Source organism: Homo sapiens, chromosome 8, assembly GCF_000001405.40.
Source record: "Homo sapiens chromosome 8, GRCh38.p14 Primary Assembly".
Lineage (NCBI taxonomy): Eukaryota > Metazoa > Chordata > Mammalia > Primates > Hominidae > Homo > Homo sapiens.
The window spans coordinates 89,189,791-89,207,312 of NC_000008.11; positions in this window are offsets into that span (position 1 = coordinate 89,189,791).

Below are 17,522 nucleotides of genomic sequence, written 5' to 3' on the forward strand. Positions count from 1 at the left end.
AGTAAGTTTGTCATTAAAAATTCACTTACTATTATCCAGAAAGCCACATTATTGTGGGAGCAAAATGTAGAATTCAAATGCTTAAAGAGAAAAGTATGCTTTCTATATAAATGTAAATTTCAGCACGCTTTCAGAAAACTAACCATTCATGTTGATAAAGCTCATCAACTTCCCTGTGTTCTAAACAAAAACGTGTATGCAACTTATGGGTACCCATACCACAGCATCAGTTACATTATATTGCAATTAATAATTAAAACTAAATACAAATTCACTTATATTTCAAAGCTTTAAAAATGAAGCAATACCTTTATATTCCTAGTACATAGCACAGTACAGATCTCATAGGAAACACTGAATAAATGCCAAAATAATACAGTTTAAAAACAGATAATGCATTAAGAAAAAAGCAACGTTGTCACCATGGAGAAATATGCAATATGAAATTGATAAAATATATGTAATCTTTTCTTTGTTCTGAAATTACTTTTTATTAACTTTACTTATCTTATTTATCTACTTGTTTAATCCAGACTTTCAGTGTCATTACTGTGTGGAGAACTTTAGCAGCAGAAATGCATAAAATCCCCTTTGGAAGAAACCTTCACAGTATAGTAGCAATTAGGCATTTTCTTTATTCTGAGATGACATAGTGGCATGTGTAGGTCCATAGGCGTGGATAAAATTACCTACTGGTGTATTCTTAACAATGGGTTGTATGCTGTTAAAATGCCATGACAGAACTGCAAAACATATCTCCTGTCAACCCAGACCAAGGTCCCAACTGCCACAATCGACCAGACTGCAGCTCGGTGATTCTTTTTTAATTGGCTTGTAAGCTTTTCGCTGTTTTTAGATGAAGGGTAATTTGGCTAATTAACAATTTTGTGGGTTCTTGCTCTCTAGCTGGAAATGAAAATAATTCTTTTCTATTTCATTTGAGAGAAGTTAAAGAAACTTTGGTTCACATGGACATACAGATGGGAACAATAGCCACTGGAGAATGCAAGAGGAGGGAGGAGGAGAAGGGGTCTATGGTGGAAAAACTACCTATCGGGTACTATGTTCACTACCTGGGTGACGGGTTCAGTTGTACTCCAAACCTCAGCATCAGGCAGTATACCTTTGTAACAAACCTCCACATGTATCCCTTGAATCCAAAAGTTGGAAAAAATAGCCATACTGCCCAAGGTAATTGATAGATTCAATGCCATCCCCATCAAGCTACCAATGTGTTTCTTCACAGAATTGGAAAAAACTACTTTAAAGTTCATATGGAACCAAAAAAGAGCCTGTATTGCCAAGTCAATCCTAAGCCAAAAGAACAAAGCTGGAGGCATCATGCTACCTGACTTCAAACTATACTACAAGGCTACAGTAACCAAAACAGCATGGTACTGGTACCAAAACAGAGATATAGACCAATGGAACAGAACAGAGCCCTCAGAAATAATGCCGCATATCTACAACTATCTGATCTTTGACAAACCTGAGAAAAACAAGCAAGGGGGAAAGGATTCCCTATTTAATAAATGGTGCTGGGAAAACTGGCTAGCCATATGTAGAAAGCTGAAACTGGATCCCTTCCTTACACCTTATACAAAAATTAATTCAAGATGGATTAAAGTCTTAAACGTTAGACCTAAAACCATAAAAACCCTAGAAGAAAACCTAGGCAATACCATTCAGGACATAGGCATGGGCAAGGGCTTCATGTCTAAATCACAAAAAGCAATGGCAACAAAAGCCAAAATTGACAAATGGGATCTAATTAAACTAAAGAGCTTCTGCACAGCAAAAGAAACTACCATCAGAGTGAACAGGCAACCTACAAAATGGGAGAAAATTTTCGCAATCTACTCATCTGACAAAGGGCTAATATCCAGAATCTACAATGAACTCAAACAAATTTACAAGAAAAAAACAAACAACCCCATCAAAAAGTGGGCGAAGGACATGAACAGACACTTCTCAAAAGAAGACATTTATGCAGCCAAAAAACACATGAAAAAATGCTCACCATCACTGGCTATCAGAGAAATGCAAATCAAAACCACAATGAGATACCATCTCACACCAGTTAGAATGGCAATCGTTAAAAAGTCAGGAAACAATAGGTACTAGAGAGGATGTGGAGAAATAGGAACACTTTTACACTGTTGATGGGACTGTAAACTAGTTCAACCATTGTGGAAGTCAGTGTGGCGATTCCTCAAGGATCTACAACTAGAAATACCATTTGACCCAGTCATCCCATTACTGGGTATATACCCAAAGGACTGTAAATCATGCTGCTATAAAGACACATGCACACGTATGTTTATTGCGGCACTATTCACAATAACAAAGACTTGGAACCAACCCAAATGTCCAACAGTGATAGCCTGGATTAAGAAAATGTGGCACATATACACCATGGAATACTATGCAGCCATAAAAAATGATGAGTTCATGTCCTTTGTAGGGACATGGATGAAATCGGAAATCATCATTCTCAGTAAACTATCACAAGAGCAAAAAACCAAACACCGCATTTTCTCACTCATAGGTGGGAATTGAACAATGAGAGCACATGGACACAGGAAGGGGAACATCACACTCTGGAGACTGTTGTGGGGTGGGGGTAAGGGGGTGGGGAGGGATAGCTTTAGGAGATATACCTAATGCTAAGTGATGAGTTAATGGGTGCAGCACACCAGCATGGCACATGTATACATATGTAACTAACGTGCACATTGTACACATGGACCCTAAAACTTAAAGTATAATAATAATTTTTAAAAAAAACTAAAAAAATAAAAATAAAAAAATAAAACTCATGTCTGGAAATGGCTTTACACATTTTACCAAAGTGAATTCAAAGAGTTGACAAATGTTTTTGTGTAGATAGAGGAGATCGAGTTTTACATAAATAATGATATATGTAAATATAACAAGAACATTTATTGAGCACATAGTGTACTAAGTGCTTTGGTAAATACTGTAAGGTATAAAAAGATATTGCATAGATCTTCTCTTCAAACAGTTTACTGTGAACTTGAGCAGGAATAACTACGTATTTAAAATTTTACAGCAACTTAAATCATATTGTCATATACATTTACATCCTCATCATAAATTCTCTATACTTTGTCAGTGGTCTCCAGATTAGTCTTTCTTCTTTCCATTTATTCCAATTCTTGGTACTGTTTATAGAGGAACATTCCAAAAATACAGATTTTATGCTACTGTTCTAGTTTGAAAACATAATTCCCTGGCACTGTAAGAGAATACAATCCACCTTCTTGGGATGGCATACAAAGCACTCCATAATTTGGCTGCTGGCAACCTTACTATTGCCATTTTCCAATCCCATATTTAATGTCCAACAACACTTGGTCATAAAACTTGAAGTTCCATAAGAAAACACACTGTTTGTCTTAAATGACTTTGTTTATGCTATTTCCTCTACTTAGTATGCCCTTTTGTCCACATGGTAAACTTTTGTTTTTACTTCAAAATGCTATTTAAGTGTCATATCTTTCCCCAAAGAAATATTAGAATCGATTCAGAGTGCTTATTTTCTCAGGGTTTATAATTAATGGCATGCTAGTAAAAGTTTATCAACCACCTCTAAAGACTTTTTTAAAAAGCCCTACTTTGTAGCAGTTGTCAATTTCCATGGTGTAAATATGCCCAAATTGGCCAATTTTAAGCGACTAAACTGGCATTGCTGAACAGGAAATTGAAAAGAGATGCTTCGTTGGCTCTCCTAAACCAGTGTGAGCTGGCTCTAGCACAACGCTGGTTATAATCCAAGAAAGATGCCTGCAATTTATAGATTATAGAATTCTCTAAATTAATTAACACTGACTTGTGTGCTACACATTCAAAAAAGTGCTAAATAAACCCCAGACTATTTATTTTTTTAAATCTTGCTTTAGAGTTTGATAATTTCTAGCCTTTTAATCCCACATAATTTCTGTGAAATAACGCCATCAGAATTAATCAGAATGTATTTGTACCATTTTTCAAATTTCTTCCCATCTTCTCTCCATATGATAGGTATGACAAGTCACTTGACTTAAGGAACTAAAAGTGAGTGTTTTGGGGCTGATATTTTATGAAAGGATGTAAGATAATTCTACTTTAGAGCTTTGCTAAAACTCTTCATCACCTTTTTATAAATTTGCACATGTATTCCTTGAATCTAAAAGTTGAAAGAAAAAAAACCTCATGTCTGGAAATGGCTTTTCACACTTTACCAAAATAAATTCAAAGAGTTGACAAATGTTTTTGTGTAGATAGACGTAATTACCAAAGCTTATTCAGGAAGAAATAGATCATTTGAGTAGCCTCTCATCTCTAAAGAAATTGATCATCTAGTTGAAAACCTTTCTCATGTACAAAACTCCAAGTCCACATGGCTTCGCTTTGAATTCTACTAATCATTTAAGGAGGATATGACACAAATTCTACAAAAATCTTCCAGACAATTGAACAGGAGAGGGTACTTTCCAAGTAGTTCTAAAGTATCACCTTTGATACGATTTGGCTCTGTGTTTCCACCCAAATCTCATGTTAATTCCCAATGCTGGGGGAGGGAGCTAGTGGGAAGTGGTTGGATCATGGGGGTGGATTTTCCCCTTCCTATCCCCATGATAGTGAGTGGGTACTCAGGAGATCTGATGGTTTAAAAGTGTGTGGAACTCCTCCCTTCGCTCGCTCGCTCTCTCCTGCCACCATATGAAGACGCGCTTGCTTCCCCTTCATCCTACCGCCATGACTGTACGTTTCCTGAAGTCTCCCCAGCCATGCCTCCTGTACAGCCTGTGGAACTGTGAATCAATTAAATCTCTTTTCTTTATAACTTACCCAGTCTCAGGTAGCTCTTTACAGCAGTGTGAGAACAGACTAATACAACCCTGATTCCAAAACCAGAGATCTTACAAACAAACTACATATAAATAATTCTCATGAACATAGATGTAAAAGTTATTACCAAAATTAAATTTTAACCAACTCTCTTTCTCTCATATATATATAAAATATATATCTGTGTGTGTATGTATATATATATGTATATATATATACATATTATATATACACATATATATGTATATATATATACACATACATGCACGTACAATGTATCATGATCAAGTTGGTTTTGTCCCAGAAATTTATGTATGGTTTAAAAATTTTAATCAGTCAAATATAATTCATGGTATTAAGAAACAAAAAGAGATAAGCCATATGATTCTCTGGTTAGATGAACAAAAGGGATTTGAAAAATATTTAACATCCATTAATGATAAAAACATGCCAACAATCTAGAAAGAGAAACTTCCTCAATCTGATAGAGACATCTATGAAAAACCTAAACTTAATGTCAAACTTAGTGGTGAAACACTAAATGCTTTCTCCCCTAAGTTCAAAAATAACGTAGGATGCCACTCTCACCACATGTATTCAACATGATACTAAAGTTTCTGACCACTAACTAAGAGAAGAAAAGGAAATAAAGGGTCCAGATTGAAAAGGAAGAAATAAAACTATATTGTCAGACAAGATGATAATCTATGTAAAAACTCAAATGGAATCTACAAAAAAAATCCTAGAAGTAAAAACTGAGTGTAGCAAGTCTGCAGAATGCAAAATAACATTAAAAATTATGTTTCTCAATACTAGCAATGAGCAATTAAAGTTTGAAGCTTAAAAACGTAATACCACTTAGAATAGCAGTAAAACCTGGAAAATGCTAAGAAAGAAATCAGACCAAAAAAAAAGATAACGTGCATGTATATTGAAAACTAAAAATCTTCCTGGGAAAAATTCAAAGAAGACCTAAATAAATAGAAACATATACCTTATATGTGGTTCAGAAGACACAATATTATTAAGACATCAATTCTCCCAATTTGCTGTATAACTTCAAAATAATCCCAATCAAAATTCCAATAGGATTTTTAATACATATTGATAATTTTATTCTAAAATTGATACAGAAAAGCAAAGTAAATCAAATAGAACAACTTTAAAAAAGAAGCATAAGGTTGGAGGACTAATGCTAACCAATATCAAATTTTATTATACAGCTACATTAATGAATGCAATGCGGTATTTGCTTCAAAATAAACCAATATATATTAGTGTCACAAAAGAGTGAGTCCAGAAATAGACCCACCCACATATAGACAATTGATCTTTGACAAAGGAGCAATGGCAAACCAGTGAAGAAAGTATAATCTTTTCAAGAAAACAATTGGATTACTTATGAATACACAGTCTACCCAATACCCAAAAATTAACTAAAAGTGAGTCATAGACTTCAGTGAAAAATCTAAAAGTAAAAAACTCCTGGAAAAAACTCCCGAAAAAAAAAAACTTTCATGACCTTGAACTTATAATACCAAAACATGATGCATAAAATTAAAAAGTTGATAAATTGGACTTCATCAATATTTAAAACATCTGCTCTTTAAAATATATTGTTATGAAAATTAAAAGATAAGCCAGATGGGGGAATATACATGCAAATTATATACCTATATATACATATATATGTGTATACATATACATATATGTGTATATGTATGTATATATTCCCCCTATCTGGCTTATCTTTTCATTTTGTGTGTGGGTGTGTGCGTGTGTGTGTAAAAAACAGTTGCACCCAGACTATATAATGGACTCCTAAAAGTCAACATTAAGAAAATAAATAATTCAGTTAAAAAACGGGTAAAAATTTGAATGGACACTTCACCAAAGAAAACATAGAGATGCCAAATGAACACATGAAAACATGCTGAAATCATTAGTCATCAAGGATATGCAAACAAAAGCCACAATGAGATACCACTATAAATCTTTTAGAATGGCTACATTAGTCTGACTATATCAAGTGTTGTCAAGTATGTAGAGAAATAAACTCTCATTCACTGATGACGAAAATGTAAAATGGTACAACTTTGCAAAAGAAATTGGCAGGTTCATAAAAAGAAATTAAATATGCATCTAACATATGATGCAGCCATTATATGCCTAGTTATTTACCCTCACACACACACAAAAAATATATATAAGGATTTGTATAAGGATATCTGTAGCAGCTCTTGTAATATCCAGAAGATGGAAATAACCAAAATGTGCCTAAACAGGTAAATAGATAATCTAACTGTGGTATGTTCACACAATGAAATAGTATTCAGCAATAAAAAGGAAAGTGCTATTGACACAAGCAAAGATGTAGATAAATCTCAAAGTAACTACACAGTATTTTGAAAACTGGGCATATAAGAGTACATATTGAATGATACCATTTATATAAAATTCTTAAGAATACAAAATAATATATAGTGAGAAAAAGCAGTTCAGTGGTCTCCTAGGGATAAATATGGGGATATCAGAATGCAGGAGGGGTGGGAGAGAGTGATTATTAAAAGGTAAAAGAAAACTTTTTGGGAGTGATAGTTATATTCATCATCTTGATTGTGGTGATGGTTTCATGGTGCATACATAAGTCAAAATTTAGCCTATTGTATATTTTAAATACATGCTGTTTGTCAAATTTATTACACTTCAATAAAGCTATTAAAAAATAGATATGGGTGCCAGTGAGCAACAGTGGTAATTATTTGAACAGAATGATTTAGAAGGATAGATTTAAAAGGATGGGAAGTGAACAACAAATGGAATTTTGATTGTGTAACAGTGTCACCAGTCAGGAAAGAGATAGTCAACTGCCCTCTCTCATGATAAAAAGTATGGATTCCACAGATGACACTCAATGGGAATAAAAAATATTTCATGGGACAAAGGAGGGGCATGATAGACAAATTTTTCAGGCAAAACTACATTAATGGCTTTTTTATAAAGGAAACTTCCCAACAAAGTGGTAGTGGTCTTATAAGCAAATGAAGTGAGCTATCAGGGAAAGAGAAGGGGATTTTACAGCTCTAGAGAACTGAATTTGAATCTTGTGTAAACTAGTCAAGTTACCTAATTTTTTAGAACTGAATTTGAATCTTGTGTAAACTAGTCAAGTTACCTAATCTCTTGAGTCTTGATTTTTTTAATATAAACAACTATAATACCAATAATTATCTCATGAGGCCATTGTGAAAATTTTAAAATTATCAGTTTTTTTCTTAACCAGAGCAGAAGGGAAGATAGCCCTGATAAGCAACAGCTATAGAATATATTCAAAGTGCTGGTGTAGCCCCAACCAATTACAGAGTCAATATGCACTGAATTTGAAAATACATTAAGGACCGATTTCCTCCCATGATTGGGGTTAGCTTTCCTTTCTTGAGTGTGGTATCTGGTATTCATGATATGTGAACCCTTCATACCCTGTGTCCGCTGAGTTAAGTCCCATGTGAGCCTCACCATGGGTCACAAGACCATCCCCATTCTATTTTAATGTGCACTACAATTTACCACTGGGAGGAGAATCTGCCAGCCATCATCACCTCCTTTTCTTTGGACACTGTCTTTGTCTTTGTCTGATGCCATGACTTAAACTAAAGGAATCTCCTTTCCCTTTTTCTAATGCTGTCATCAAGTAAGCATCACTAGTGCTTGTAATTACCAACTATCATACTTCTCCCACCAGTATGAACTTAGATTAGACATAAATTTACAAAGTACCCTTGGAAATTGCGATTTAGGCACCCAGTCCACAATTGAGTTCATTTATGTGTCAATGCATGCTTTCTTTATATACATCTTCCTTCCCACTGACATGCCTGGAAGTTTTAACATTCATAGCAGTTGAGCTGAACCCGTGGGTCTAAGAGAAGTTTTGGTGTGAAGAACCTTCAAGAGTCTTTCTTATGTCATGCTCTAGTTTAGACTCATTTTCAAGTCCAGACACCTGGAACTTTCTTTTGCTCTTCATCTCTGGTTTCAATGGCTAAATCTGCAGCCACATAGTCTATTTCTTGGACACCTTGTTCATCTCTGAGTCAAGTATAGGACATAATCTTCCCTACTGTTTCCTTCCTTTACACTTCTCGGCCTCTCCTTTTTCAGGCCTTAACTCTAATCAATAAAGAAAAGCAGATTTGTGAAATTTAATTTTCATGGGAAAAAAAGATAAAGATCCATAGTCCCAAGCACCTGCCTCCTGTCCAGAATGATAACTAGAGACCCCACTTTTAATTCTGAAACTGGAAGTACCAAACCTTTTACTCTTTGTCCGCTTATTCTTCAGGACAGGTTGATACATCTTCCTTAAGGTTCCTTCCTTCTGCCACAAAGATAACCATGAAGCGAAACAGAAGGCTCCCATTGGCCCCAAGTGGCTGACCTGCATCTCTGAGGACTTCCAGATAAGTAGCCTGATGGACAATTGTATTGGCTTTATATCTATCTGAAAATGATCTATTTTGTTCATCTTCTTACAAATAATAAAGTTTTTTCATAGTAGTCGTTGCAGCCATAATTTTACATTTCTGCATTTATTATTTAATTCAAGATATAATATGCACATTTTCAGAATAGGAAGTTTGCCTCCTTTTTTTATCTATGTGTCACATCATAAGTACAGTTATTGGCCTGTAGGTTTTAAGAAATATTCGTGAAGAAATGACAAATAAATGGAAAAAAATTCATGGTTTGTTCAATTACATATGAACCCAGTAGTGGTTTGATATGTAAGTTTGGGTGAAGTATCATTGAGGACAGAATGTATAAAGCATTGTTTGAACTTGGAAATAGGATGATAAATAAATAGCAGAGGGTAAAAGAAATTTGGCATCTAAAAGAAACAGAGAAAGTAAAGAGAAAAGGAGGGAGAAGGAGGAAGAAAGGGGGAAGAGAGAGAAAACACACATATATTCTCTTTAGCAATTGCAGGGTTTTTTAGGCTCTAGGCTATGAAAACTATTTGTTTTGCTTATTTTTATAATAAATTGCAACTTATTCCAAGTATTACTCAATTATTATTAAAGAATCTATCCCAGTAATCATATAATAGACAAAGTAAGACAAAGTCTTTATTTATTCCCTCATTTTGCTTCATTTTAGTCAAAAAAGGTTAAGACGAGATAAAGGAGAGGGCAGAGAAGAAAAAAATACGTGTATTTTTTATATTGAAAGAGTGAAATCTTGGAAGGAAGTATTTTAGAGAAACAGTCATCAGGAGATATAAGTTCAAATTCAACTTTTGACATTAATTAGTTCAGCAGCCTTGGGGAAAACACTCATCTTCATTGCACTCAGATGCTATAACCATAAAAATCACAGAGCACAATGAAGGTAAATTCTACCTTGCTCTAAAAACTGCACTCTTCTTCTTAGTGTAACCAGTGAAGATGGCAAGAGTGAAATATCAGGGGTGAAAACATCCCAGACTCTCTGGATTCAGCCCAGTATGTTTCTGGCTAATTCATTAGTACTGCATTATAAACTCCTGATAATGCAGTTTATTATTTTTGTGGTTTACTGCACTGGCTCATTTTCCATTTGTAATTTTTATTTTCCTCCATAATAACCCCTTGAAACAATTCTCAATTTAATGGAAAGAGGATTGGTCTAGCTATTGGAAAAATAAAGTTTCTAATCCTTCTACCAAAGAGTTCTCTAATTCAGGAAAATAATTTCACTATTTGGAACTCAGTTTCATCCTTCAATCACATATTTGTCCCTTCCACAAATACTTATTGAGTATCTACTACATACTAGGTAATGTTTCTTCACCAGCAAAATTATATTTTACTACACAGTGCTGTATATCCTAAGGTACTTTCCAGTTCATGAATACAATGTTATTCAATTCTGTTTCTGATTATATTCCAATTCCCAAAGCTACAAATTTAAGGTTCACCCTTAAGAAGTCATCAGAATGATGACTGATCATTTCTCCAAATGCATTCTATTTCTTCCTTAGTATTCAGAGGGCTGGTTTCAACTTCCTTCTCTTTCATTGCTTAGGGTTTGCTTCTGTATTCTCATTCAAATCCCCACCTGGCTAAGTTCAACTGGCCAATTATTGCAAGGCCAAAAGGAAATGGCACATTCAAAAGTAATTTGAAAATATAAAACACAGCTAAAACTGAGTCATTATTACTGCCTCCAAACTCAAGTGGTAAAAGGAAAGCAACTCATAGAAACTCCACAAATCAAATGCTTCTGTTCAAAATTATCTAGTTAAGTTCTTATGTAATTCACTGGGTTCAAATACAGATGCCAAGACAGTGGATGAAGTTCTACACCACAGTTCTTACAAAAATGCCCAGTAGTCTTAGGAACGCAGCCTATTTTGAGAAAATATTGATATGCTACTAAATAACTTTAATTTCAAAAATTTTAATTAAATTTAATTTAAATCAAACTTCCTTAAAACTTTAGTGTTGATTATAAAAAAAATCTATGTTCCAACCTCTCAGAAGAAAGCTGATTATATTTTGTTTTCAATGTAAATCAGTTTGTGCTCTCAGTAGAAATCCTTACCTCTTACCTCACAAGGAAAATAGCAAGCATCAGATAATAACTCTCTCAATTTCCCATTGCACAGCTACAGACAAATCTGCTCCCATTTCTGTCCTTCCTTCTTCTCCTCCCTACCTTCCTTCCTCCATTCTTTTTTTCTTCCTTCCTTTGTCTCGCAGTGCTCTGTGTCCCATGGTTTGTGTGCACTGGACAGACCAGGACTGTGTAACACACACATTCCTAATTGTTTACTCATCTGGCTTTATCAGTCCTCAGCCCTTCATCTTGTATCTTTAATATTTCTTTCCATGATGGCTCCTTCTAGTAAACATATCTGAGAGTCTTTCTCATTTAAACAGTGGCTTCTATTCCCCTAGCCACAGCCCAATTTTTCACCTTCCTATCATAGCCAAGCTTCTTAATAGAATTGTATATCATCACTCATTCACTCTAAAATCAACAGTGTTTAGGTTTTTGTTCCCACCATATCCACAAATCTACCCTCACTTCAAGAATCTACTTTAATTGCCAAATCAAATAGGCAATATTCATTTACCTTGCTCGAATTATTAGAAGCAATTGCTATTTTTGACCACTACCTCCACTGTACCTCCTCTATTCTTGGCTGTAGAAACAGCGTCTTCTCCTGGCTTTCCTTCTTTGGTTTCTGTATCTTCTCCGTAACAGGTTCAATATTTTCTATTCATGCCTTGAACATCATCTGTTCCACAACTACCACTTTCAACTTTTTTCTCAATCTTAACACCCTCCTTGTGCATGGCATCAAATTCATGATGATGACTCATAGTTCTAAATATCTATGCCTCTGCACCCTCCTGACCTTTAAACCTACAAATGCCTATTGGACATGTTAACTTGGATTTCTCATGGTATCCTCAAAATAAATCTATCATTGGCTACTTTAAATAATGGCAGTACCACAGCAGATCTCCTTCCAATCTTTCTTATCAATTCTCTTTTACAGATCTGTGCACCACTCACAAAAAGGTGGGCTTTCAGTGGCCAGCACTTGCAGATTTTTGAGCCACAGTACCCAGAGGTGAAAGGAGACAGATCTTCCTGGACGATTACCACCCCAATCACCTGCACAGCTTTTTACCAATGACTGTGAGCAAGGGTGTAGAGAAGCCTAGTTGCCTTGCCTTCAGATAGGCTATCTCTGAGGCTTCATATTCCAGAAATCTCATTTAGGAACTTTACCTGAGGTTGCATGCTCACTGAGCTTTTTTTCACCTTCCTTATTTACTTCCCCCACTTCCTTGTCAGTGTCCTATGGCAATACGTCCTCAATAAACCACTTTCACTCAAATCTTTTACTCAAAATCTGCTTCCAGAGAACTCAACTCAAGACACCCTATCACAAAGACTTCAATTTTTTTCCCTAGTTTTGGTCAATATTATGGTTATTCTTTTTTTTTTCAAGTTAGAAATTTAGGAGTACCAGCAGGTATCTTAATCTGGATTATTAAAAATATCTCAACTTGTTCATATTGTACTCCTCACTCTTGCTCTTTAGTAATATGGAGCTATTTAAAATTCCCAGAATATATCAAGCTATCTCTAACTGTAATGTCATATAGCAGCCCAACCAAACCCCAAAATATAACTACAAAAGTTAAATTCATTTCCATGCTTCTGTGAAATTCTGCAGCTTTATTAAATAATATTATCTGCCTGAATTCTCAAGTTACAGAGGAAGAGGATATATTTTGGGTACAAGAATAGATCGGCTTAGAGTGACAAGGTGGTGACTTTGACCTGTCAGAGAGAAATATGTACCACATGTCTTAGATGAAAGAGAAGGAGGTGGTGATCATTGTTCAGGAATGAAAGTTACACAGACCAGAATGACAAACTTGCTCAACTTTCCAAGTGTGACTTGGACTATGGTGTATATGCCAGTAAGTCACTGAAAACTATGATCATTGCCTAAATAGCAGCACTAGTTTGAAATGTTAGAAATCAGAGGTATTCCAAGGAATCCCAATCTTTATTTCAACAAATTTGGATAATCTTGTCTAAATACTCTGCATTTCATCTTGATGTTTCTCCATTTCATCTCAAATCTTTCCTCTTCCCACACTATGAGGAGAGAAATGAAATGAGGAATCCAAATAATTGGAAGATAATATATGTAAAACTATACTTACCTGTACTTTACATTCATTTAAAAAATTAAACAAACACCTACTGTATGGCAGACATGGTGCTAGATGCTGCAGACACAGTAGTTGACAAAAGGGACAAGGTACCTGCCTTTGTGATATTTACTCTGCTGTGTAAACAACTAAAGAATAAGGTTCTCCTTTCATCCACCTCCAACTCTCCAGTGTCTCAAGTGTCTGAGACAACACTAAATAAATTTGTTAAATTAATGAATAAATAAACTCTAATGGTCCTTTATCAGCATGATACAGTAATACATCTTGTGCTTTACTATAGAATTCATTTCCTGAGAGTTTTTTTTAATTATACATTACACTGTTGCATTATCCCATCCCATGCATTTAACATGACCAAAGAAAAGAATCATTATGGTAACAGAAATAAGCTATTATGCTATCAACTACTATCCATAATTAGATGCACATACTTCCTTTTTAATTTCTCAGTGCTTATTCAGAAACAACTGTCATTGTAATTATCATTGACCTTGATATAATCCTCTCTTCAAATAAGGTACACCTGATGCATCAATTACCCTAAATTACTAAACTCTCAATGTAATTGAAAAGTAAACAATCAAAGAAAATAATCTATTGAATCGTATGACCAAATACACCCTCATACAAAAATGCAAATATGCTTTTCCTTGACTGCTAAAGATTGCAATTTATTTGAAATACCCAGCCCAAAGTGAATATCCATATTACTGTAATGTAAGCAAATTACTGGTAGCTCCCATCATGTGCTAGACTAGGGTCATATTTATGTGGCTCAAGTATGGTAGATAATTGCTGTCTTGCTAATTTGATCAGTTGGATAATTACATTAACTGGACTAACAAATATTAGTATCATTTATCTACATGACCATATTAAAGGTACTGAAACTAGTCCACTTAGTTTTCTTCAGTTGCATTAGCCCGTAGTTACAGTGTTAGATATCAAAATAGCTCAACCCTAAGAATAAATAGGATATTCAGAAAATATAGCCATGGTCTTCATGTGTCTGTTGACTACCGACAGTACCCTTGGCAAAGAGAGAATTGTACCCATCATTGATATACTTCAGGTCCTAGAATACTCATTTTCATTGTCTTATGGAATTTTGGATGGAATTATATAGATAATTGCCTCCATTTTCTATATCCTTTGAAAGTGAGTGTCTATGCTGCCACAATTCTGAAATGATTCAGAAAATAAGTTAACCAAGCACCTCAAATTTGTGGGAGGAAACAAGATTCTTCAATTATTTCTATGTGTGAACACTTAGAGACTTTTTTGTCCTGAATCCCAATATTTTTTACAAATACATAGAATGAAAGCAAAGTATATCATTTCACCAGTTAAGGCCAACAGGCACTTCTTGCTTGATCATATAGTCCATAATCAAAATAATATCTTTCTTAAGATATTGAAGTTTGAAAGAAAAAGATAGGCTTCTCCTTTAATGTAAATTAAAGTTACAGTTCTGCATCTATGTTTCCAAAAGAAAATCTAGTACTCATGCAAGAAACAAACATATACACTCATATACTTCCTTAATACCAAGGAAAAACACCTCTTAATATTGATAATTTATGTAAATTTAGTATTTAAAAGGTGGTTTTTAATGAGTACGGAACAAAAATTTGATGTCCACTTGTTACCATATTTAGAGCCAACTCTGACATCATAATAAAAATGATGGGATTAAAACGATAAGCATTTCAAGAGAAGGAAATAAAGTGAATAAAAGCACTTTAAGTGTCCAGGAGTTATCATTGTATCAAAACCCACATAACGTTATCAACTTTTGGATGTTTTTACCTTATTCTATTTATTTATCCCTGGACAGAATATCCACAACAAATGATACCTGTTGTATTAGTCTGCTTTCATGCTATGAATAAAGACATAACCGAGACTGGGCAGTTTACAAAAGATAGAGGTTTAATTGGACTTATAGTTCCACGTAGCTGGGGAAGCCTCACAATCATGGCAGAAGGCAAGGAGGAGCAAGTCACATCTTATATAGATGGCAGCAGGCAAAGAGAGAGCTTGTGCAGAGAAACTCCGGTTTTTAAAACCATCAAATCTTGTGAGACCCATTCACTATCACAAGAACAGCACCAGAACTACCCGCCCCCATGATCCAATCATCTCCCACTGAGTCCCTCTCACAACACGTGGGAATTATGAGAGCTACGAGATGAGATTTGGCTGGGGGCACAAAGCCAAACCATATCATCTGTCCAATCATTCTAAACTCACTGGAATTTATTAACATTCTTATTTGTATTTACTTATTATGGCAACTAAAACCTATAACCAACTCAAAACATGCCAAACAGGGAACATTATTCAGAAAAATATATATACTAAATATATTAACTTTGTGATTAGATGCTGCTTTAAAGAGCATGCCATTTTTGGCAAAAAAAAAAAAAAATATATATATATATATATATAAAATGGTAAGGATAAATCTTAAAAGATATGTTTAAAAAATTATAAATTTATGTGAAAATGGCAAAATATAACTGAGATAAATTAGAGAAGACTTAATTAAATAGAGAGATATATGGTGTTATATATGGTGTTCATGCAGTGAAAATTCAATACTGTTAGAAAGCAAATTCTCCCTAAATTCACCTATGAGTTCAATGCATTCCCAATCCAAAGTCCGGAAAGCTTTTCTTTTAATTTGATGAAGTCATTCTAAAATTCACATAGAAATGAAAAGGATTTCGGAGAGCTAAACCAACTTTTTGTTTTGTTTTGTTTTTTGTTTTTTCAGACGGAGTCTCCTTCTGTCGCCCAGGCTGGAGTGCAGTGGCACAATCTCGGCTCACTGCAAGCTCGGCCTTCTGGGTTCATGCCATTCTCCTTGCCCCAGCCTTTCGAGTAGCTGGGACTACAGGCACCCGCCACCACGCCCAGCTAATTTTTTATATTTTTAGTAGAGACGAGGTTTCACCGTGTTAGCCAGGATGGTCTCGATGTCCTCATCTCGTGATCCGCCTGCCTCGGCCTCCCAAAGTGTTGGGATTACAGGCGTGAGCCACGGTGCCCGGCCACTAAACCAACTTTGAAAAAGAACGAGGATAAAGGGCTAACACTAGCTGATTCCAAGAATTACTATAAAGCTACATTAATCAAGATAGTGTGGCATCACCCTCCAGATGGACAAATGGATCAATGGAATATTAAGAAATAACCTGCATATATGTGAACAACTGATTTTGACAATGGTGCAAAAGCTACAAAGTAGATAAAGAATAACCTCTCAACTACGTGCTGGAACAATTGGATATTCACATGCAACAAAAAAATTTAAACCCATACACAGCATGATAGACAAAAATGTATTCAAAATGAGCGATAGACCTAAACAGAAAACCTACACTATAAAATTTCTGGAAGAAAACCTAGGGAAAAAAAATCTTTGTAAACTTGTGTTAGCAAGAATTTATGAGATACAACACTAAAAGTCCAATCAATAAAAGAACAAATAAATTGGACTTCATCAAAATTAAAATGTCCTGTTCTTGAAAAAAACACTGTTGCCGGGCACGGTGTGGCTCACACCTGTAATCCCAGCACTTTGGGAGGCCGAGGCAGGCGGATCACAAGGTCAGGAGATCAAGACCATCCTGGCTAACACGGTGAAATCCCGTCTCTACTTAAAAAAAAAAAAAAAGAAAAAAAAAATTAGCCGGGCATGGTGGCAGGCGCCTGTAGTCCCAGCTACTTGGGAGGCTGAGGCAGCCTGGGCAATAGAGCAAGACTCCGTCTCAAAAAACAAAACAAAACAAACAAACAAAAAAAACACTGTTAAGAGAATGAAAAGATAGACTCAATCTAGGGGAAAGCATTTGCAAAGAATATATCCTACAAAAGACATGTGTTTAGAACACATAAATAACTCTTAAAATATTTTTT